Source organism: Homo sapiens, chromosome 7 (genome assembly GCF_000001405.40).
Source record: "Homo sapiens chromosome 7, GRCh38.p14 Primary Assembly".
NCBI classification, from domain to species: domain Eukaryota; kingdom Metazoa; phylum Chordata; class Mammalia; order Primates; family Hominidae; genus Homo; species Homo sapiens.
Genome location: NC_000007.14, coordinates 88692160 through 88718840, shown reverse-complemented (window position 1 = coordinate 88718840; position 26681 = coordinate 88692160). Strand labels below are relative to the sequence as shown.

Genomic DNA, 26681 nt, shown 5'->3' with positions numbered 1-26681 from the left:
AGTAGTATGATAAGCAGAAAATATTGGTCATTTTTAATATTATTATTTAGGAAGCAATATGGCCCTTTGCATCTATTCCTGAGCTAAAATTCCAACTCAAAAGGGATTCTTCCCAAGAAAAGGGTCTTCCTGGTCACATCTATGTATCAAAAGCCAACACAAGGACATACATTCAAGATCAAATGAAAGTTGCAGAGCCTGACAGACAGAAGTCAGTGCTGGGATTAATAGACAAACCAGGGAGCCAGCATTTTGTAGAGCATATTAGCAAGAAGCAAAATCACTACAGAACTTACCTAAGCTACAGTATTAGACTCAACTTTGAGTACTTGTTGATGTAAAGATTGAAAATTTGGGGCAACTAATAATACAAATAATGACTATCCAAGTATCAAAATGTAGTACAAAAAATGACATGAGATACATATAAGTGGAATGAAGAGAACAGAATAATGCAAGATGTGCCAGCTAAATACAAAGTGAGTTTACTGCCCTGGAAGTACCATATTTGAAAGATAAGAAGATAACTAGGTATTGATGTCAGAAATCTTTCCATTATATTCATAGATTTTATATATGTTTACACATGTATCAATGAATACTAAAAAATTTATAGTTTTATTCCTAAATACATGCTCATTCCCAATTACTTTTTTTTTTTTTTTTGAGATGGAGTCTCGCTCTGTTGCCCAGGCTGGAGTGCAGTGGCATGATCTCGGCTCACTGCAAGATCCGCCTCCCAGGTTCACGCCATTCTTCTGCCTCAGCCTCCCAAGTAGCTGGGACTACAGGCGCCCGCCACCACACCCGGTTAATTTTTTGTATTTTTAGTAGAGACAGGGTTTCACTGTGTTAGCTAGGATGGTCTAGATCTCCTGACCTCGTGATCCGCCCGCCTCAACCTCCCAAAGTCCTGGGATTACAGGCGTGAGCCATCGCACCCGGCCCCCAATTACTATTTTTATTCTGCTATTAAATCCCCAAGATAGAAAATCCAGCCTACTATAGCTATATCTGGATATTTGGCTCTGGCAAAAATCTAAATCCTTAAAACAGTAGATAGCAGTCTGATACTCAGAGTGGTCAGGAACAGAATAGAGCATCTTCACGTTTCTTTCTTTCTGGGGGTGCTACATACACCAACTGCATTTTCTAAAAAGGATATTGCTAACACAAGTCTGTATGTTCCTATTCCAGAGCCATGTCTGATATTTCCTACTTGAATAAAATTATGAAAATCTTGAAAATTTCCTCATGTTTCCAGAAACTTAAAAGCTTTTATAAAGCAATCTTTACTTTGCTATATAAAAGATAATTACCTGACATACATGCAACCTCTGAAAGATCTCAAGAAAGAAACACACGTATCAAACTGTCATACTTTGATTTCTTGATAGGTCAAATTTCATTCCCAATGTTTTGCAAAATGGTGAGCATATTACAACCTGCTATATAAGTGTAAAATAATATTAGCTTCAGTAACAACTCAGGATCTACCTATGACTTTGCAGGAAATCAAGCCATGACAACTTTTTCATGAATTAGAGTTACTTATTCATCTAGAAAATTATAATTCTACCATAAATAATTTTACTATGCATATATATTACTATTTAATTCTTAATATACATATAGGCCATCATGATTGTACATATACACCATAGAATATTACACAGCCATAAAAAAGGATATCATATTCTTTGCAGCAAAATGGATGAAGCTGGAGGCTATTGTCCTAAGTGAATTAATTCAGAAACAGAAACCCAAATATCTCATGTTCTCACTTATACGTATGAGCTAAACATTGAGCACTCATGGACATAACATGGGAACAATAGACATTGCAGACTATGCAGGGTGGCTTGTTGCGGGGAAGGCATTGAAAATCTCCCTATTGGGTACTATGCTTAATACCTGGGTGACAGAATCCATACATCAAACTTCAGCATCACACAATACACCCATGTAACAAACCTACACATGTACCCCCTATATATGGAACTTAAAAAAATACAAAAAAGTCTTACAAATATTAATGGAAGGCAAAAGGACCATAATGTGTTGCCACTCACCTGCCGAGTGGTAAATCAAAGAGGATTGTCCTAAATGTGGTAAATGTGAGAAAACTTTTATTTCTGCTTGAGGTTAAAAGTCCACAAAAGAATCACTTGATCTGATTGACATAGTTGCTAAAAGTGTCCTATATGTGGCACCTACAGACCACACTGACAAGAGGAAAGCATAGACAGGGTAGTTGTGTTTGAGTGTAAATATCAGGCAGCTTGAAGGGCAGAGTCAGTATGTTGTTAATAAGGGACTCCACAGGTAAGAGTAACATTCACTAAGTGGAGAGCTGGATTACAGGTCACTCACTGAGCATTTTAGACAGACCTGCAGGAAGTACCATTAGTAGGGATATTTCTGTATAGAATAGCAAAGTATATGCATAGATAAAATAGTATGGAGTTTAATAATTGCCATTTGCGATTTGGTGGAAGAAAATTAAGAAGGGTTAAATGACTTGTCCAATTTCACAGCAAGGCAGTTATAAAGCTAAAACCATAACCCATGGTAGAGAAAAATTCCAGCTTTCAAATACCTGAAATATATCTGATGTTGTGTATAATAGTTGTCTCATGCTGAGCTGCCATTTTATTCTTATTGTGTTACAGGAAAAAAAAAAACACCAAATGCATTACAGCTTTAGGATTTCCTTAAGAGTATAACCACTGAAAATATATATTTCAGCAATAAAGAAGGCATGTTTCTCCCATGTTCCCACTGCTTTTGTTTTGAAAAAAAGTCATACATTTTTACCATAGACGAGTCCTTAAATGAAGAAAAATGCACACATTTTTCTTACATGCTTTAGTTCAAGTGGCATTAGGTATATAATTACTCAAAAATAGAGTTTTTGTACATTCGCCAGTAAGTGCTCTCTTAATAGTTGCTTGAGAAAAGGCTTAATATAGCATTTTATATTTCAAAAATGAAAGAAATGGTTTTGTTTTTAGAAAGTTAACCAGTAGTCTTCTGCCTATAATGAAAATGGTCAAACCACTCAGATTTATAACTGGATTATACCATTCTGACCCTCTAAGTTCACCTTTTTTTTTAATGTTGCTTTAATTCACTACATTTTGAAAATAAGGTAACCAAAAGAGATCTGATTGGAAAACATAAGGAAAAGGCCGGGCGCAGTGGCTCACACCTGTAATCCCAGCACTTTGGGAGGCCAAGGCAGGCAGAGGTCAAGAGTTCGAGACCAGCCTGGCCAACATGGTGAAACCCCATCTCTCCTAAAAATACAAAAAAAAATTAGCTGGGCATGGTGGCATGCACCTGTAGTCCCAGCTACTCGGGGGGCTGAGAGGAGAATTGCTTGAACCCAGGAGGCGGAGGTTGCAGTGAGCTGACTGCACCACAGCACTCCAGCTTGGGCAACAGAGCAAGACTACATTTCAAAAAAAAAAAAGGAAAAATAACTTTGTTATATTATAGTAGCAGCATTGTATTACTTTAGGAGTATATCCCCATTACCTCCATCCACAAACCACAAATATTTATGATTGCTATCCTTTAATGCAGTATTTGATACAGCATCCCATTATGTCATTTTCTCTTTTAATTAGTATCTTCATGAAAATTATTTGCAATTTTTTATCCTCTCTGTTATAGTGAATGACAATATCTTATTGACAGGCAAAATGGAAGTGCACTGACTCTTTTCAAAGAAAAATCATTTTCATCAAAGTATATAATAAAAACATGCATTGTTGTATTTATGAGTATCCACTTAAAACATATTTTTAATTACCATCAATTATTCATTATATATAGATATTTATGATTTCCATCTTAAATATGTAACATAGATCCTCAAAAGTTTGGTCATTGACTTGCTCTCTCTAAAATAATGCTTAGAAAATAAGAAATAATTGGCCAGCTATAATGGCTCAGGCCGGTAATGCCAGCATTTGAGGAGGCCAAGGTGAGATAATCACTGGAGGCCAGCAGTTCTAGACCAACTTGGACAAGACAGTGAGATCCAGTCTCTAAAAACAAATCTTAAATTAACTGGGTGTGGTAGTGCAAGCCCATAGTTCTAGCCACTCAGGAAGCTGAGGTGGGGAGATCCCTTGAGCCCAGGAGTTTCAAGAGCTATAATTGTGCCACCGCACTTCAACTTGGGCAACAGAGTGAGATCCTTTCTTTAAAAATAATAATAATTGATGAGTAATTACTTATGCACATATTATATTATAAATAGCTGACAGAAATATGCTCAACATTTACAAACCATTAGTAGTAAAAATTTTGATGTACTAAGAAATCAGAATATGACAGGTTGATCTTTGGGCAGATATTTATTTATTATAATTAAGTAAATGATATTTATGACTGATCCATGTAGTATACTATATATACTTTTCCTTTCCTACAAAAAATATTTTATTGGCTTAATTTTTATGTAATTACTATTCTTCATCCCTAAAAAAAATCTCAGTTATATAAATCTTTATTCAATATATCCCAACATGTCAGGAATCCTAACAATTCCATCTTCACAGAGACATCTCTTCCAGACACCTCTTACTTGCAAAGCCTGGTCAAGTTGCACTCTAGTTATCTTCCTCATATTCTCCTTTGCCGTCATCCTAGGAATTCTCTTTACCTTTCCCTTGTACTAGATCTTCCATTTCCTGGATCCCATGTATTCTCTTTTATTGGTTTACTCTGTGTTGGGGGAGCATATGCTACAGTAGTTTCCTAGAAAAGGATGCATGTGAGTTTTTTTTCCACATCTTGTGTGTCTGAAAATGTTTATTTTTATGTTTACATTTGATTGATAGTACAGAATTCTAGATTGGAAATCATTTTCACTGTGCATTTTCAGAACAGCCTTCTAGCTTTCAGTACTGCCAAAAAGTCTATGCAAATTCTTGATCTTTTAAAGGAAATTTTTTCTCTCTGTCTCTCTGGAAACTTGTACAATCTCCTCAGGGCTCAGGTATTCCTGCTTTGGCCTTATCTTTTATCAATGGTCTCTAGCTCATGATCTACCCATATTGCCCTGCTCACATTATTTGTGTACTTAAGGGAGAAGTCAAAGGAGTTCATTCATACCTTAAATATCACATTTTAAGAAAAGCAGTGATCTCAGAAGCAGTATTTCCTGATCAGAGATCTAATAAGTGTTTGTACCAGTTCTCCTAACCATTAAAACCAGGTCATATTCTTTCTTGGTCCACCTCTTACTAGGTTGTTACATTGGGAGTAGGGACTTCATTTTCATTGGCTCATTTAAGATTCAATCAGAGAGTAGAGGTCTATTTGTTTGTGGCTGAACATTTCATTATGCCTAAAGACATTAATCTTAATAATACGGGAAACTAATATTTTATTTAGATGGCTAGGTCATGGTGTGGAATAAAAACTTATCTTTTAGTCATTATAATCACCATATGCTGATGATGACTTTCAGTGCCACTTTTCCCAAAGAGAAATATTTTTAAAATACTTTTTAAAGAAAACTCAGAGTAATATTATAAAAGAAGGCCACATAGATCTTTTATGTTAGATATTTGTTTATACCATCCTTTCCTCAATTATATCTCCAAAATTATGGATTTTATACAGCTTTCAGAAGCTACAAGAATTCAATCAATGCTCAGGATAATGAATTAGAAGATAAGCTAGAGATCTCTTTGAGATTCAGTATACTTTATTAGCTTGATTACAATTTTCTTTTTAAAAATTTCAGATGAGGTTTACAATGCATCTTAGAACTTTTAATCCATTGTCTCTATTATCTATCACAATTTGAAGATATTAAACCATTTTATCTTCTGTATATATTACCATGATGCCTTCTTGGGGCAAAACAGTAAACTTCACTCTCCATGTTTTTAGCAGATTTTTCTTGGTATTTGATTTTCCTATGCTTCACAGACATCTTTATGTGCATGAAGCAACATTAAGGAAGTCACTTTTAGAAAATTTTCTAGTTATCCAAAGGAGAGCGTTTAAAAAAAAAATGAACAAGTACTGTATAGTAGGCACTATAGTAGTCATCTTCATTTGTCTACCTCATAATATTTAATTCTTACTTGACTATTGCATAGTAAATATTCACACCCACATTTAAAAATGTTTTAAAAACTGAAGCTCAGAGGGAGTAATTTGCTTCACCTTCCAAAGTTATAAGTGGCAACATCAAAATTTGCATACAAGTTTTCTTCTAACTAAAAAACCCTTACATTTTTCCAATTTTGATGTGTAGGTTTAAATAGAAAATGATGATGTTTGCTTGTCTGCCAGGGATAAAACATTCAAGAGTTTAAAATACTTTTCCTCTAAGGAGAAAAAAGGTATAAGCTTTAAAAAGATTTATTTTAAAAACTTCACAATTATTAAAATTTAGATAAGCCTTTAACATATTAAATGGCCAGATATATCACTTTTATGACAGACAGCATTTCTTCTTCAGCTTCTGCTTCTGAAGACCAAGCAATTCAAGTAAGACCCTGGCTAAAGATCTAGACTGGAAAAAAAGCCTCTGTCTCCGTACATTCTAATGAAATGAAAGAATAGATATAACCATCAGGATATACTTGTGGAGTGTCACTAGTATGTCAAGAAGTTAAACAAATTTCTGGAAGACAGAAGGATAATTGGAGCATTTCTCAATAAAAACAGGAGAGAGAGAATACACCGTATAAGAACTATAAGGCCAAAGTTGCCCAATCTGTTTATGGAAACCTAAAAGCAGCAGGTGTAATGGAGGATAGGAGTGAGATATAGGTTTGAAAACAGCAAAATCAACCGAAGACGTGTACAGAACAACTGGAGCAGATGTCCCTCTATTCTTCCCCCATCACAACTCAGACGTAGGCATCAGGCATTTATCCAAGCCTTATACCAATTGTAAATGGCTCCTCTCTAAAGAAATTATAAGGAAAACTACTGCAGATGTTTTCCTGATAATTTCTTTATTCTCCCCATTCTGACATTTAAGGATCTGTAGCCTGATTTCCAGTTCCCTACCTGCTCATTCTGTCTGTCTGATGTCAGTACTGAAACAAAAACAACTCTGTTTTTTTTTAAAGCAACTCAAGATTAAGTAAAGGGAATTAGGTGATTGTAAAATGAATGGAAGTGATGGAGCAGCAGGATCTACAACTGGCTTTCAGAAATGATTTCCAGAGCAGTGCAGAACTGATCCACAAGAGCAATTGCTACTTCCGTAACAAGCAGAACTATGAAAACTGTTGAGCTCATGAACTCACAGGTCAAAAGACAGGACTCAGTAAAGAGTGCCTACCTACACTCTGACAAACAGAAAGCTGGAGATTGGAGATTGGAACATTCCTGCAGAGATACATCTCTAACACCTTTATTGCCAGCAGAAAAGAGCCATAAGACAGTAGGAAGATGGTTTTTTCTCTCTCCTACTTTACAAATCTGATACAATTGTATCTAATGCACAGAACCTACTTTACTCCCAAAATCATGTCTGCTGTGGAGTCTAGGGAATACGCAGTCGTTAGATTTTCAGCCAGTACATAAATAAATAAATAAATAAGACTTACTAGAAAGAAGTGAATCCTGATGCTGACAGCAATTAGACTACATCCACCAAACTCTCCCACTAAGGAATAAAAATCATGCACTGGCACTCCCATGCGTCATTCCATAGAGAGTTCCTAGTCAAAATACCAATTAAGGCAGAGACCTGAAAGAAAACACACTTATTTACATAATAGCAAAGAACACCCCAAAGCACCTACTCACCCCATCACCTAATCATCTTTAAGGACAACCAAGGATCATTGGGTATAAGAGAAGCATCAAATCATGAAAGAGAATAATGACCAAAACAAGAAAATAGAAAATTTAACATCAGAGAAAAACAGATCACTCAGGAAGCAGAAGAGAAACCTCTGATATGATCAGAGAGATCAAATAAAGCTAGGATTCTTGACAAAAGTATCAGCTAGGGAATGGCAAAGCATTCTTATGGATTTATAATAATATTACCAGAATGAAAAAGCAATAATATATTTTAAAGTGCAGGAAAGAAAGTGTGGACAGAAAATGTGAATGAAAAGAAGCAGATAAAAGAACATTCCAGGAGATACAGACTTGGAATAGCAGGAGTTCCAGATAAAAAAGGAGCATCCTCAAATGCAGCAGACATGGAGAGTATGTAATCCAGACTGGAGCAGGAAATAGAAGACCTCCAGGGGGAGAAAATTCTAGGACAAGGGAAACTTTACATGCTAGCATTATGACGCAAAGGGTACAAAGATGCTAGAAACGTTCTTCCTAGGAGCAACCCAAGTATGTGACATTGTTCCTATAGAAAAGAAATCTAATCCTAGCGCGTTATTTGACAATGAAGAAACAGGATAAATACTGTTCACTTGCTCTTTAAGAGTAAACCTAAAATCATCTAGCTTTTAAATACTGACTCAAATGTATAAAATATTACCAATGCCAAATAAAACAAAACTACAGGGTAAGTCCAGGCCACAGTCCTCAGCTGACAACTCAGCAGATGATATTTAGCCACTAGAACCTCTGAGATGGTAGTCTTAAACCAGTGGTTTCAAAAGTTTCATTTATTTGAACAGTTTGTAGCCATTATCACATTTGATCCTGAGACGCAAGGGAGGAAAAGCATGGTTGTGGTTTCAGAAACAGAATATAAATGTCAATAAATTTAACAATATAAAAGTAAAGCTATAGAAGATAGATGCTGGGAAGCAGAAAGCAGGAAAAGGTAAAGGAAACTCATGAGAGTCCTTATTGTATGAATCAGGAAGTGAGTGATGCTGTTAGCAGTTGAGGGCACATACAATTTTTAAAAAATGGTGTAAACATAGCATTTGAATTAGAGAAGAGATCAATAGACAAATTAAACATAATAATTAAGCTATAAATATTTGAGAGCAGGGGTAAGAAAAGTAAGCCAAATCCTCATCTTTCACAGAAGAAGTCAATAAATGTTTATTAAATACCATCTCTGTGCCAGGCAGTATTCAAGCACTGAGGATGCAATAATGCACATAAAAGAAGGGGAAAACTGATGTTTAAAATGCATCTCATTGTTGTTTACTGTATTAGCCCATTTTCACACTGCTGATAAAGACATACCTGAGACTGGGCAATTTACAAAGGAAACAGGTTTAATGGAGAACTCACAGTTCCACATGGCTGGGGAAGCCTCACATCATGGTGGAAGGCAAGGAGGAGCAAGTCACATCTTACATGGATGATGGCAGGCAAAGAGAGAGCTTGTGCAGGGAAACTCTGCCTTATAAAGCCATCAGATAACGAGACCAACATGGGAAAGACCCTCGTGATTCACTCATCTCCCACCGGGTCCCTCCCACAATACGTTGGAATTATGAGAGCTACAAGATGAGATTTGGGTGGGGACATAGAACCAAACCATATCATTCACCCTCTCTCTTTTTCCTAGAATGTTTTATGATTTTGATTTTCTGGTAAACTTTCATTCCTCCAACATAAACCCATGTTTACAAGCATGGAACCTGATTATGACTGAAGAAATACTGAAGAAATATAGGTAAAGCTATGTAATCCTGTGCTTAAGGACTAACCACTAGAAAATATCAAAATAGAAACCATAGAATAAGATTAGCTATGGGTAGCAGCACTGGTAATACAGAAAGGTGGAAAAGGAGACTACTCCTTTTTCTGAAGTGTTCTTTATGTTATTTGATAGGTGACTATGGTAGGAATGGATGTGTGGCCCCTTCAGTGACAAACTTCTTGCCCTCACTGCTGGAAGTGCTGTTGTCAGACTGCCTTTGGCTGTCAGCCTCTTCAGGAATTGTTTCAGATGCAGAAAGCCATTTCTCCCAAAGTAAAGCAGCTTTCCAGGCAGCTCACATTTAATGAACAACTGACGTTGAAGATGGGCTTGGCCATCTCAACCAAACTTGGAACAGATGACTCTTAAGGGCCATTCTAGCTCCTGAGCACTCCTTGGGGTCAGCAGACACTGTCATTGGACCTGTGTCATAGCCTGACTTCTTCTTCTCCATTTCTGCTTTCTTCTATTCCTTTTCAAAGGGTTGATCCCACAATTTCTCACTCATTAAATTGTTAATTCCACAATTTCTCAGTAATCCCACAATTTTCTCACTAACAATAAATACTGCTTGCAAGTATTACATTGATTAATATAAGTTTAAATGCTAGAAAAGTGCCAGTAATGATTTATTCAATGTTATGCAGAACACAGGAATAATTAGTAAAACAAAGAATTCATGTGGCAATAAAATTCACTTTCACTTTTTATTAATATAAGTTCCTCTTTATTTTATTCCACTTTGTTGCTTTCTTAAATTTGTATTTTTGCCAAGGATGGATAGCTTTCTACTCAATATCTAGCCCTTGACACAAAATTTTATGTTGCTTTTGCACATACACAAAATATTGCTATTTGTTTATTGCTGTGTTTCCTTTCTAATGTACATACACTTCAATCTCATCAATGCTCATATAATGGCAAGGAAGTGTCACTGACCAGCCAAAAAACAACTTTTCTATTGATTTCTATGCATGTATGTCACTTTCTCACCAAATTATACTGAATTCTATTCACCTATGTTATTAAAAAGATAATGATTTCTGACATGCAAATATCATAATAAATTATGGTAATTTTATTGGTGTAAAAAATGCTAAAATTCCCTTAATTTTTAATGCTGATGTATGTCAACAGAGATAATTGCTTTATTTTATTGTCTAAGTAACAGCTTAATAGCTTTTATTTTTGTAAATGCTGTCAGTAAATGCAATAATTTCTGTGACTTTATTCTTCAAAGGACTTGCTTAAAATATTTAAAGTCTATGCCTCTAATGCAGAGTGTAGCTCCATTATTTATATATCTCTGATTCTTAAATATTTTGTATAAGGCAAATGGTCAATAAATTTTTAAAGAATGTATGAATAAATGAATGAATGAGCTTGCTTTATATAATATTTTATCTAGAAATCTTTATTCATTTAATATTGTATACTGACTTCTTTATATTTTTCCAGTCATGTTCTAAGTTCTGTATATATCAGTTTTCTTATGGCCTCCTGAGCATTTAATAATTGAAGTCTCCACTTTTCATTTATTAAATTCATAAGTATTTATTAAATACCTACTTTGTGCCAAGCAGCATGCCAGATGCTGAGGGTATAATAATGTACATGAAATGGGAGAACAGATGCTTTAAATGCATTTTATTGTTTTTCACATTCTCTTTTCTGCCTGGGATGCTTTATTACTTTTATTTTCTGGCAAACTTCTATTTCTCCAAAATAAAGCCATGCGTAAGGGCACAGAGTCAGACTGCTAGTGTTCAAATCCTGGCTCGAGAGTTAGTAGTTAAATAACTTTTGGCAAGTTTCTTAGCCTGTGAATTTTCCATTTTCTCATATTTAGAATGGTATCTACCTCATACCACTGATGTCAGAATTAAGCAATTAAAATGTATGTAAAAGTCTCAGTTTAGTGCCCGGTACATACTTGTTCAATAATCGTTAGCTATTATTCCAGCATCACTATGCCTTGCTGTTAGAAAAACAGTTAAATCCTGACAACAAATTCCAAGATATAACAGCTGCCACCAAAATAGAGTGACTTTAGAATATCAAAAAAGCCCTTTTATTCACTATTTTTAATAGAAAACTTGAAGGTTCTATTAAAAATAAAATATCGTCCATGTTGATGCATATTGCAGAATTTCCTTCTTTTTTAAAGGTTAAATAATATACTATTGTATGTATAAATTATGTTTTCTTTATATATTTTTCTATCAATAAACATTTAGTTTATTTCCTTAAGGACATTATGCTAAGTTTAGTAAGCCAGTCACAGGAAGACAAATACTGCATGATCCCACTTATATGAGGTATCTAAAATACTTAAGTTGTTAGAATTTAAGTATCCCACTCTTTAGAATTAGAAAGACTAATTCCACTCTTTAGAATCAGAAAGACTAATTCTACTCTTTAGAATTAGAGTGGAATGTTGGTTACTAGGGGCTGGAAGGAGGAGAAAATGAGGAGTTACTCATCAATGGGCGTAAAATTTCAGTCAAGAAAGATAAATAAGAAGTGAAGCAAGATGGCAGAATAGAAGACTCTACCAATCATTCCCTCAGCAAATATCTACATAGAAAAAAACACCTTCATAAGAACCAAAAATCAGGTGAGCATTCATAGTGCCTGGTTTTAACTTTATATTCACTGAAAGAGGCACTGGGATAGATAGAAAAAACAATCCTGAATAGCCATTGCCACCCCACCCCTACCCTGGCAGTGGTGGCTTGGTGCAGAGGGCATCTCTGGGTGCTCGGGGAGGGAGAGCACAGCAATTGTAAAGCATTGAAGTCAGTGCTGTCCTGTTAAAGCAGAAAGAAAAACCAAACCAAATTAGCTAATGTCCACTCACAGAGGGAGCAAAAGACAGCCCTAGCCAGAGGGGAATCAAGAATCCCCAGTGGTCAAAACTTGAGTGCTTGCAAACCTCGCCACCATGGGCTACAGTACTCTGAATCTCCAAGTAAATTGGAAAGGTAATCTAGGCCATAAGGACTGCAACTCTTAGGCAAGTCCTGGTGTTGAACTAGGCCCAATGACATTAGATAGAGCGGGAAGACAACATACTGAGACACAAGCTTGGGCAGCCAAGGGAGTGCTGGCATCACCCCTACTCTAACCTCAGGCAGCACAGCCCACAGCTCCAAAAGAGATCCCTTCCTTCTGCATGAAGAGAGGAGAGGGAAGAGTTGGGAGGACTTGGCCTTGCATGCTGGATACCAGCTCAGTCACAGCAGCATAGGGTTAGAGTCGTGAGGCCTCCATTCCAGGCCCTAGCTCGACATTTCTAGACACACTCTGGCCAGAAGGGAACCCACCGTCTTGAAGGAAAGGACCCAGTCCTGAGAGCATTCATCACCTGCTAACTAAAGTGCCATTGGGCCCTGAATATCAGCATTGATACCCAGGTGCTATATCAAGGGCCTGGGGTGAGCCTCTGAGACTTGCTGGCTTCAGGTGAGACTCAGCACATTACCAGCTCTGGTGGTTATGGGGCAAAACTCCTTGTGCTTGAGATAAGGAGAGGAAAAAGTAAAGGAGAGTTTGTCTTGTTCCATAGGTAACAGCACGACCACAGTGAGGCAGAGAACCAAGCAGGCTCTTCAGGTCCTCAACTCTAGGACTTGATTTTTGGATGGCATTTCTGTACCTGCCCTGGGCCAGAGGGGAGCCCACTGCCCTAAAAGGTGAGTCCCAGGCCAGAAAGAATTCACCACAAGCTAACTTAAGAGCCCACGGGCCTTAAGGAAACATTGACTGGTAGTTTGGCAGTATTCCTCATGGCCTGGGGGTGGTGGTAGCTACAGGATGAGGCTCTCTGCCTTTAGAAATGGAAGGCAAGAGTGAGGACTAAATCTTGTGGTTTAAGTGCCAGCTCAGCCCAATACAATAGAACACCAGGTAGACTTCTAACATTCTTGACTCTAGTCCTTGACTCCTAGATGGCACCTCTGGACCCAGCTGGAGCCTGGGGCACCTTACCATCCTGAAAGGAAGGACACAGACCTGGCTGGCTTTGCCACCTGCTGATGGTAGAGCCCAAGGACCTTGAGTGAACATAGGCAGTAGCCAGGAGTGGTTACAGCAGGCCTTGCATGAGACCCAGTGCTATGCTGGCTTCAGGTCTGACCCAGTGCAGTCATAGTGGTGGTGGACTGAAAGCCATTCTTCTATGACATGGAACAAGATGAGAATGCCCACTGTCACCACTGTTATTAAACATGGTACTGGAAGCTCTAGCTAGAGCAACCAGACAAGAGAAAGATACAAAGGACATCAAAATTGCAAAGGAAGATGTCAAATTATTCTTGTTTGCAGATGATATGATTTTATATTTGGAAAAAATTAAAGACTCCAACAAAAAACTATTAGAACTGATAAATTCTGTAAAGTTGCAGGATACAAAATCAACATACAGCGGGAGGGGGGAGGGATAGCATCGGGAGATATACCTAATGCTAGATGACGAGTTAGTGGGTGCAGCACACCAGCATGGCACATGTATACATATGTAACTAACCTGCACAATGTGCACATGTACCCTAAAACTTAAAGTATAATAAAAAAAATCAACATACAAAAATCAATAGCATTTCTATATACCAACAGTGAACAATGTGAAAAACAAATTTAAAAAGTAATCCCATTAAGATATTCACATATAAAATGAAATACTTAGAAATTAAACAAAGAAGTAAAAGATCTCTACAATGAAAACTATAAAATATTTATGCAGGAAATTGAAGATGACACCAAAAAATGGATATTCCATGTTTATGTATTAGAAGAATCAATATTGTTAAAACATCCATACTACACAAAGAAATCTACAGATTCAATGCAATTCCCATCAAAATACCAATGACATTCTTCACAGAAATAGAAAAAAAAAATCTAAAATTTATATGTATCCACAAAAGTCCCAGAATAAACAAAGCTATCCTAAGCAAAAAGATCAAAACTGGAGGAATCAGATTAACTGATTTCAAATTATTCTATAGCATGGTACAGGGATAAAAAGAGACACATAAACCAATGGAGCAGAATGGAGAACCCAGAAACAAATCCACACACATACACTGAATTAATTTTTGACAAAAGTGCCAAGAACATACACTGGGGAAAAGACAATCTCTTCAATAAATGGGGCTGGGAAAATTGGATATTCATATGCAGAAGAATAAATCTAGACCCCTATCTCTTGCCATACACAAAAATCAAATCAAAATGAATTAAAGAAGTAAATCTAAGGACTCAAGCTATGTAACTACTAAATGAAAACATTGGGGAAAATCTCCAGGACATTGATCTGAGCAAAAATTTCTTGAGTAATATTCTACCATCATAGACAACCAAAGCAAAAATGGACAAATACGGCCAGGTGGGGTGGCTCATGCCTGTAATCCCAGCACTTTGGGAGGCTGAGGTGGGGGTATTACCTGAGGTCAAAAGTTCAAGACCAGCCTGGCCAACATGGCAAAACCTAGTCTCTACTAAAAATACAAAAAATTAGCTGGACTGGACGTGGTGGCATGTGCCTGTAATCCCAGCTACTTAGGAGGCTGAAACAGGAGAATCACTTGAACCTGGGAGACGGAGGTTGCAGTGAGCTGCGATGGTGCCATTGCACTCCCGCCTGGCCCACAGAGTGAGGCTCTGTCTCAAAAAAAAAAAGGACAAATGGGAAAATGGGATGACATCAATTTGAAAAGCAAAGGAAACAACAAAGTGAAGAGACAACCTACAGAATAGAAGAAAATATTTGCAAACCACCAATCTGACAAGGGATTAATAACCAGAATATATAAAGAGCTGGAACAGCTCTACAGGAAAAAGCTAATAATCCAATTTTTAAATGGATAATAGACATTTCTCAAAAGAAGACATAAAATGGCAAACGGATAAGAAAACGTGCTCAAGATCATTGATCATTGGCAAAATGCAAATCAAAACTACAATGAGATATCCTCTCACCTATCAGCAGGGTGACTATAGTCAATAATAACTTAATTGTATATTTAAAAGCGACTTAAAGAGTGTAATTGGATTGTTCATAATTCAAAGGATAAATAATTGAGGGGACAGATTCCCCCCTACCCCAAAGTGATATCTTGGGTAATTTTCTGTTTATTCTATATGTAGTAGATGTGGAATATGTTTTTTCCTTGGTCTTCCTTTATTCCTAGGAAGGAATTATTTTCAGATCTCAATGGACTGCTTCTTATAATTTACTGGAAATTTATTTCCATGCTGACTATACATTGCTATGGTTTGCATATTTGTCCCCTCCAAAACTCATGTTGAAATTTAATTTCCTTTGTAAAAGTATTAAGAGGTAGGACTTTTAGGAGGTGATTAGGCCATAAGAACTCCACCTTTATGAGTGGGATTTGTGCATTATAAAAGGGCAAGTTCAGTACCCTCTTGCTATCTCTATTGTCCTGTTGTTTTCTGCCCTGGAATGATACAGAAGAAGGCCTTTGCCAGATGCTGGTACCTTTGTACTGAGACTTCCCAGCCTTCAGAACTGGGAACCAATCAATTTCATTCATTATAAATTTTTTAAAAGATTAATAACTCTATAGAACTGTTGTACAACATTGTACCTATAGTCAACAGTAAGGTATTGTACGCTTAGAAATTTATTAAGATCGTTTATCTCATGTTGTGTTCTTACCATAACAAAAAATAAAATATTGCCTATTATATGTAATAAAACAGAGAATTGTCAATCGGTCTAGTCTGCCACCTAATCCAGCAGTCACTCCAAGGTTGTGGAAGGAATGGGAAAAATAGTAAAATTTGGAAAGGAGCAAAGGAAGAGAGCCTACATTGTTCTAGGTTTCAGGAAGCAAATGTTTCAAAACAGATCCCTATTGCTTTACTGACTCTTTCAGCAGTCCTATGAAGCAAGTAAAGCTTCCAATGATTGCCCTTATTATAACTCTGAATATTCCGATTGAAAACACTACATTGCTCCTTTTATTACAGAATAGGAACAGTACTATAAACCAGATTATATGGCCTCTGGCCAAATGTTCTTTCTACTACCCAAACTTCTCACATATGGATATGGAATTTTAGATCAAAACTTCAAAAACTTTTTCCTATGAGTGCAGTTATGTTTTTAATATAATGATTTATTTTCCTTTGGGTAAATACCCAGATCCACATGGGCATCCTTGTCTTGCTCCAGATCTTAGTATCCTAACTGGATCAACAGATGATCAGACATATATATATATATATATATATATATATATAAAATCTCAGGTATATATATATATATAGGTGTATATATATATATCAGGTGTGTGTATATATATATGTATATATATATATACACACATACACAATGGAATACCATTCAGCCATGGAAAAGAATGAAATGAAATCATATATTTTGCAGAAACATGGATAGAATTAGAGGCCATTATCTTAAGTGAAAACTCAGAAACAGAAAGGCAAATATCACATGTTCTCACTTATAAGTGATAATTTATAAGTAGGAGCTAAATGATATGTATACATGGACATAGGGTTTGGAATAATAGACTTTGAAGACTTGGAATGGTGAGGGGTTGGGAGGTGGGTGAAGGATGAGAAATAACTTAATGGGTACAATATATATTATTGGGTGATGGTTATACTAAAAGTCTAAACTTCATCACTATGCAATACATCAGCATAACAAAACTACACTTGTGCCCCTTAAATTTATACAAATGGAGGAAAAAAGTTATCTCCTGAGTCAAGTTTAAATGAGCTAAATGATTATTCTGATATCATATATTTGAGTGCATGGATGGTATCAACCTCTCTATCAAGATAGCACAGAGTCCACAGGAAGTATGATGTGGGCAGATGCATTGTCAAGAAGATAGTGGATTTCTACCCCTTCTAGCTTCCTCTCCCAATTCAATCAAGTAATCACTCAGCAGCATGTATGAAGGACCAATCATGTTCTCAGGTTGTGGGTAAATTAAGATACTAAGCCTGACCTAAGTAACCTGAAACGGAATTGAATGGCAATGTTCTACCTATGAAACAACAATAAATAATGGTTCTTATGCTTTTGTGTCTTGACTGCAAGTATCATCTGTCATAATATCTAACTCCCTGAGTTGTCATGAGGATTAGTTGAGATATCATATGAAAATCACTAGCTCATCACTTAGCGCATAACAGGGGCTCAAAAAATAGTAAACTAGTGGCATGGGTAACAGCCAGTAAGAGCAATATCTGTGGTAGTGGAGGACAGCTAAAATTTGAATACTTTGAACTTTGTGGGTTCAAAGGAGAACGACATGTTCATAGGAATATTAGTTTGCATTAGTTTCATGTCTATTTTCAGAGGTAGAGTCAGAATCAGATTTTTTTTTCTCCTAAACAAATGAGCCTCATGTATTAGTTTGCTAGAGTTGCCAAAACAAAATACCACAGACTGGGTGGTTCAAACAACAGACATTTATTTTCTCACAGTTCTGGAGGTTAAAAATTTGAGATCAAGCGTTCAGCAGGTTTGATTTTTTCTCAGGCCCCTCTCACTGCCTTGCAGATGACTCCCTTCTCACTAAGTATTCACTTGGTCATCTCTCTGTGAGTGCATGTCTGCTATTTCTCTGCACGTACAAATTTTCTCTTCTGATAAGGGCACCCCTATCATATTAAATGACCGTCCACCCTAGACCTCATTTTAACCTTAAACACCTCCTAAAAGACTTTATATCCAAATATGACTATATTCTATATTTCTAGGGGTAAGGACTTCAATATACATTTGTTGGGGACATAAGTCAGCCAATAACACCTTTTCTGGAGACACAGATGCGCAGAGATTGGTTAAGTACAATAAGCTTTACTAATGCCTAGTTCAAGGACTCCGGTGGAGAAGAAGAGAAAGGATCCTTAGCCAAATGAGAGAGATAAGAGAACAGTCTCTGATCATTGCAGAATAACCTGGCACATGTCAAAAATACAGAGGGGTGGACTGATCTGCGGACTTAGTTTGATTTTACATGGGAAAGAAGGATGGAATTCCTTTCAGTAGGTCTCAGAAGGTGTAACTGCAGGACACAGAATGAGTACATGCTTTAATATCTCGAAGTCTGGAGAGTAGTCATTGGAACAAGCCAGTCTGCAGCTTACAGGCCAGCTTTGTGGAATACTGATTTCTTTCCAGAGCAGTCAGGGAACAGAGAAGAGGAGGCCTAATAATATTTCTGGTGTCCATGCACTCAGGGTCTATGAATACCCGGGCAAAATGAATATGTCAATACTTTTAAAATGTGCTTACATTCCTAGGAGTTCATATTTATGAAAGTGCCATATGAAGTGTGACTATCAAGTACTATTTTCTGGAGCAATCTTAGGCATCTGTAAAAGGTATGTTGCTCCACAGAAGCTATCATATGTAATGGTTAAAACACTGGATACGAAGTCATTGGCTCGTACCCAGTACTGACACTTACTAGCTTGGTGAGTGGGCAAGTTCCTTGATATCTGCATCTCAACACACTTATGTTTAAAGTGAGATAATACTATTCTTACAGCATTGGATATATTTGAGGATTACTTGAGTTAAGATATATAAAGTGCTAAGAATATTGTATTATTACCAAGAAATTCTGAGTGAATCACACAATTTCATACAAAGAAGCAAAGTTCCAAAATGTTCCTTGCCAGATTTAAAAAGTGAAAATACAGACTTCCCAGTTAAATTTTATTAACAAACAATTTTTGAATATAAATATGTCCCAAACATTTTATAAACACTCTTATACTAAAAATTTATTTGTTGCTTATCTTGAAATTCAAACTAACTGGGCATTCTGTATTTTATTTGGCAACTGTAAAAAACACATTTTGAATGATATTGAAAGAGAATATCAGAAAGCAATACTTTAAATGTCATCAGTGTTTAATAAGCACATACCTAATAACTATAATAACTGAATGAGTTGGTAGACCCAAGGGCTATAATGTGGACAGCCTTTATTGAAATACAAGCAGTCAAATTGACTTGAGGAATTAGGAGAAATGGGAGCTAGTTAAGATTTGAGTAGAAAAATGAATTACCAAACCTCATGAAAATGGCAACTGAGTTATAATTTCAGCTCTCTACCAGAATTTATGGCATATAGAAGGTATTTGACAAAAGTTTGATGTATGAAAAGATAGCGAATGATTAAGCAAATGAATAAACAATGAACAAATAAATATGTAAATGGATCAACTATTTAAGAATGGTAAATTATAAAGGATGGGGTAAATGAAAAGAATCATAAGTTCAGAGAAATAAATTAAGAATGACTTGTGGTAATCCCGTTAGAGGAAATGAGAAACAACCTAGAATAAATGAAGTTGAAATGGAGACGAGAGAGAAAATTCTAAAAGCATGTCAACACAAAAGTCATAGGATAGGAAGACTGTGCACAAACTAATATTACCATCTGTCAGCTGTGAATACTCCTCCATAGAAATAGCTAGGTTTGGTCTCCTCAGACTTTCTACAAAACACAGTCTGGAGGGAAACACTCCAAGGGAATCCATCAAGGCTTTCCATTTCAAGGAATCTGGGTAGACTGTAATACACCAAAAGAGGAAAGAGGAGGAGGAAGATGAGGAGGAGTAAAAAGAAAAGTTTCTGCTATTGTTGTATTTATTTTTTGTAAGCACAAAAGAAGATAGCTTACTCATAATCTAAAGTAAATATTTATTAGACAATGAAGAGTCACATTGTCTCCAAGAGGATTTCTAAAAGTAAAAGATAGGATATGTATGCAAGTATTTGAAAGTCTCAATATAAAAAAGTTTCATCTAAGATTATTGCAGTATCTTGAGCTCTACACACAACAGAACACTTTCAAACACTCTTTTCCTCTTGAATATAATACAAAATAACAATATAATTCAGCCTATTCAAAGCAGCAAATCACCAAAGACCTTATCTTCCAACAGGTACACATGTAGTGCTTAGTACTGTTGCTCTACCATCACAATTGCTGATGCATGAACCAACAAAGGAATAAAAAGAAATGAAATAAAGTCCTAAGATTTATTTATATAAATGAAATATGTCTCTCATAAGTACATAGAGGTGTTGAATTTTTCAAATTAGTCAGAAATATGTGTAACTTTTCCTTAAACTTTATAACCATGGATAATCTGCAGTAGGAATAATTTTTCTTTCTATTAAAAATAAGTATTATCATTAATATAATTGGATCTTTTAGAACTCATGAAGTAATTGCAGCCATTTATTTTTTAAAACATTTGATGGTTTTGGCATATCATAAAACAATTTTGTAGGCATTGTTCTATAATTTTCAAATTCATTTATTTCAAAAGAAATATAATCATGTTTTATGGTATAATTAAACTTAGCTCAAATTTTTGAACTCTTATTGATCTCATTAACACATGTTTAGCCCTATAATTAAAAGGGGATCAAAGTCTTTTACAAAAATCTCCAAAACAATCATGGAGTTGAACTTTGAAATTTTCTTTATGGAAGTTCTAAAAGGAAAACAGTTTGCCTAATGCCACACATTTAGTTGGATGGTATAAAGCAATGATGTTCACAACCCCAAAATGATCAGGCCTTGCATTCACTTTTTCATTCTCCTCATGGTTTTGCTAAAAAGTATTGTTCTTTCATTGCCTCATGATTAGAAATCCAGTCTCGTATTTTCTGGATAGTCTATAATCCAGCACTTGAAGAGTGTAATTGCAATAAGGTTAGAACAGAATTAGAGGGGAGTGCCAAATGCAGATACCAACAAGACAGTACTAATTCTTCCTCAAAAGTCACACCAAATTAAAAGTTTCTATTAAGGATATGAAAGTTTGAAGTTGAAACTCAGCCTATATTCTATGATAAAATTGAATATTGGATATTAATATCAGCCTACTAACTTTAGCAATATTCAAAATTAACAGCTAAGAATCAAAATAATACAAATAATTATTTTCAGACCCTTACTCTTGTTATAATCCTAACACTTAATTGGAATTCACCAAGTGTTTAGTTCCCCTAAAAATGATTGATAATGTTGTTACAAGTGATTCATAAGGTAATAATAGCAATAAGCCAAACTTTATTTATTCATGCAATATTCATGGAACTATATAATTCAGTATGTCAGTAATTATATTAAGTATATTAATATCATATCAATTAATATACTTGCACTGTATTAAGTATGGGACATAAATAAGTTTCTAAAATGGCTTCAAGAAGATTTTGACATAAGAAATATTATTAGAAGTACATGCATGATGGTGGTCATAGCCACCATTCTATGAATGCAGATGCTGTGTACTTACTTCTGTGAAGTGTAGCTCTTAGCCTGTGATAAAGTAAGAATTTGTTACCTAAATTAACATGTCTTCCCAAATGAAACAACTTACCTTCCAGTAGAAAGATCAGGTTCCTATGATGTTAAGGACAGACATGCTAGGCCATGGGAAAAAATGAATAAATAAATGAGACATCTTCATCTGGAAAACATATATATAATATTCAATACTACCTTAAATCAGAATCATAAACCTGGCTTCAAGTCAGTATAAAATCTATCAGGGAAAGTACCTAATATCTAAATAGTAATAATCCAAAATAGAATATAATTAAATACCATAAAAGAGGACCAGACTATGAGATGATATTTCAAAGAAGGAAGAGAAGGTATCCAGCTGAATAATCTGGCATAATCCATTGAAGAGAAAGTATTTGAGTTGTGTGTTGAAGTATCTGGTAGGATTAGGACCCATGGAACTGAGAAGGATATTCTGGATAGAGGAAATATCATAAGCAAAGTTGGAGTGAAAATTCCTGAAACATATAAAATGTCCAGAGAATAGTCCCATTGGTCAAACATGCTGTATATGAAGGGCAGCCCTGAGTGATAATATTGAGAGGATGGTGAGAGCATGTGGGGAAATAAAACTTCTCTAGATTTCTCCTGTAAAAATTTTGAGCCACCTGAGACACATAAATGTATACAACATAAAAATAATGTTTGCTTTCCCTTCCCCTAGAAACATATAACTATCCACATATTATGAGGATTAGATCTGCAGTCATTTGTTGAGTTAATCATGCTGATCCAAGAGTATGATAAAACTTCTCTTCTCTCTCCTACAGGAACAATTGGTTACAGCCTAGATTAGGCCCTTAGGTTAAGCAATCAAGATGTCAAGAAGACTGTCTTCCTAGGAATTTACATTTCAAAATGATGAAGCCCAAACCCTGGGGATATGTTTAGGTCATAAAAGCCATAGACACTAGGGCTTACTTGTTCCTTGGAAAGGTGTATTTACATATTAAAAACAGTGAGTGCAATCCAGGATCCTATCTATCCCATCTTTCAGAAGGGAAGAGTGAAAGCTGATAAATCCATTGCTGTTTCTGTTATCATCTCTCCTCTACCAGTGAAACTTAACCACTTGCCTGGAAAGTTTTCATTAGAACTCATCATGTTGCCTATAGGTCTAGGTGTGAGGGACCAATGCAACAATGTTACTGTTGATGTGGTTGTGAGCATCAATATAGAATGCTTTTCTCTACCCAAATGCCTTGTGTTTCTGCAGTATTCAGATAGACATATAAGTAGGTACAGACATACATGAATGAGATGGGTAACATCTCAGAAACCTCAAGCTTCATGATAAAACAGAGTCATATCATGAAGAATTTTAATTGTCAAGTGTCTAGTTTTCATTTTAAAATGTTTCCTTTTGAGCAGTGTCAATACCTTCCAAAAGCTTCTCTGGATTTCTCAGTGCTCCTCTAAAAAGGAAAGTGGTACATTATCCCCACAGACATTACAACTGCTTCCAGAGAAACAGCTCAGTAAAATAACAACTCTATAAAATGTTGCTGCAGCTCACAACAGAGAAAGTAGAAGGTTAGGAAAATCACAACAAGGGTTGAAACCTGGGACAGGTTGGTTCAACAAAACTCAATTCTATGAGATTAACCTCCATTTGGGAATTGGAGCATACTAAAGAAATATACAGTCATGTGTCACTTAACAACATGTATAGGTTCTGAGAAATGTATCCTTAGGCAATTTCATTATTACACAGGTTTCATAGAGTGTACTTCCCAAAACCTACATGGTATAGCCTACTACACGCCTTGGATATATGCTATAGCCTATTGCCCCTAGGCTACAAACCTGTACAGCATATTCTAGTGAATACTGTAGGCAATTAAAACACAATGGTAAGTATCTGTGTGTCTAAACATATCTAAACATGGAGAATGTATAGTAAAAATATAATATAATCTTATGGGACCACTGTCAGATACGCAGTTTGTCATTGATTAAAACGTTGCTATATGGTGCATGACTGTATATATCAAGACTGCTGCCTTCAAAGAACTTTTCTGGTAAAACAAGACAAATACATATTTTAACTAGATTAGTGCTGAGATTTTTAGTTCAGATAATAGTTTTTAGAGATGGTTAGGAAGGAAAAATTCAATGTGGTTAGGATACTATATTTCTGAAGGAAAGATGAATGTTCACAAAGACTCTTTTCCTTTCTCACTTCGTAATTAGTAATTTTGTTATTTTGCAATCTTCCAAATGGAACTGATAATTCTATACCTAGTTACCCACCACCCTCAACACTCTCTCAAAGTCTCTAATGTCAAAGATCACAAGAATAGGAAAGGCTGGGTTAACCAGATTTAAAAATCATTTAAAAGAGCATTCAGAATTTTCTTGCTTTTTCTCATATCATGTTCTTGTACTACTTGGCTTTGGATTAAGATAAGCTTGAATTTGTCTTGGAAAGCTTACCTAACCTCTTTGAGACACAATGTTCTCTTCCATGAAATAATAAGATGAAATTAGATGGCAGGTTTAAAATGTCCATCACAACATCTGACTCTTAGATACTCAATATTGTTCTCTGCCCTATTCAAGCCACTTGTCCCATATACTCTGGTTATAGAAGTGTCTTTGAAGTAAAACCAGAGATGTGGGACAATATAGATGTCATTGTATTGGGCAGAGGTGGATAGTTAGCAGTATGTAAGGACATAAAATTGCTTGGGATTTTCAACTTCAGACACAGACATAGGAAAAAAATATTGAGAGGATTCCCTAAGGTATGGCAAGCTACCAAGTCAGGGAACACATAAATTGTTCCTCCTCAATGAAGTAATACCAATGCTAAATATACAAGTGGTGATAGACAGGGATATAATTGAATTTTTAAAATATATAAACAAACAGAAATGTATTCAGTTATAGGAAAAGTATCACCACCTCATAGGCTAATCAAAAATGTTTCCAGGTTAAGGGACAAAAAAATTTATAATAATTCCAAGGTCTCTTAGATATATTTTTGAAAAATGCAATAACATAATTGGCTCTAATTTTCAATAAACTGCATTTTTTTTTCCAGGGGGAAAGAACAAAGATTAGAACTTGACCAGATACTAAAAAGTGAAAAATGCCCCTAGTTGAACACAGAATTGAACCTGAAAGCGCTCTGGAAACTCAGGGAAGTCTGATTCACAATCAAATGGTTTGCAGATTAATATCTGCAAATTAATAAAGATAATGCTCCTTGTGTCTTTGTATTTTCGGGGTGTGGGATTACTGCCATCATTTGATGGAGAAGAAGTTTTAACTACTAAGTCAGCATGTTTCCATGGTGCTACCTGGTTGCAAATCTGGGATGACATAAGGCACCAGCTTTCTTTACAAACCTTCAAGCTTGGAGGAGGTACAAATCAAATTTGGTCTGAATATTGTAGTTTTGTTTTTCAAGAAGTACTATTTCTGTTTAAGAGTTTTTGTTTGTTTTATAGAGATCTCCTTGGTTAATCCTTTAGCCACACTGATTTGATGCCAAGTTATTGTTTTCCAAATAGTAAATTTTTAAACTTCTTATCTGATTAGTTTTACCTGTTGAGGACAGGTGTTTTATGCCTCATAATTTTCCCCTCCATACTCATTTATACTTGAATAATTTTCAAGATTCTTGGTGAATTTCCCTTTGAAGGTTTCAAGTCCCTTTAATCCCCAGAATAAATTTATTAATTTATTAATGTTTCCCAAATAAAGAAAAAACCCTATTGGGAATATAGTGTTAATTATTTTTCTCAAGTACATCCACCAATATTGGTGCATACATTTCTCAGGAAATTAAATTTTCCATTAGTTCAATATGCTTGGAATGTTTGAATTAAAAAGAATTTTCCAAAAATGGTCCCAGGCTTCTTTTAAATGATGTTATTAAAAATATAAAGTTCATATTCTAATAGATTACCCAAGAAGGTTACTGCATACAAATTTACCTAAGTTCTTGCTTGTTATTATCTATTTTCCTGTAGTCTTGCTTGGTTCTGGAGGGACAGTTTGGCTGAATATCAAATACTTAATTTACACTAGTTTTTCTCATTAAGCATTTTTTTATACTACTGCTTTAAAATTGGGTTATCAAAAGACCAATGCCAGTCCAATATATCTGTCATTGCAAGTTACATGTTTGTTTATTTAGGCCATGAGGTCATGAGAATTTTTCTTTTAACTCTGAAACCTAATGGTTATTAGAATATGTCTTAAAGTTTATCAGTCTGGGTTAATGATAAACTAAATTTTCTCATAAACTGTATTTTCCCAAGTACCCAGTGGGGTCTTCCCATTTTTAGGTTCAAACTTTTTATTAAATGTCTGGGAAGTTTTCTGTGATTATAATTTCAAACATTATTTTCCAATGTTTTTGTTAATAGTTATTTTCTAATGTCTAATGTCCTAAAGTTTTGCTTTTCACTCTTTGTTTTGTTCAGGGATTGCAATAATACACATATTACTCCTTCTCTTTCTATCTTTGTATCATATTCACTTCTTCACTCATTTTTATTCTCTTAATTATTTTTCTGTTTTTCTTCAATGCTCCTTATTTAATTTTTTAAAATCAATTCTCTCATGGGCGTCTTAAAATCCATTCTTCATTTCTATGTTAATTTTGTCTTTTAATTCCATTTCTTTTTTGAATTCAATCAACTTTCTTTTAATTTTTACTG

General features: G+C 35.4%; 1 long non-coding RNA gene across 1 annotated transcript in view; it reads right to left on the bottom strand.

The window, feature by feature from the left end:
• The window catches only part of LOC107986816 (uncharacterized), a 63027-nt gene that overhangs the window by 25357 nt on the left and 10989 nt on the right, over nt 1–26681 (bottom strand). The window contains exon 2 of the long non-coding RNA XR_001745261.2: nt 22043–22088. This is a non-coding gene — a long non-coding RNA (uncharacterized LOC107986816). The remainder of the gene's footprint in view (nt 1–22042; nt 22089–26681) is intronic.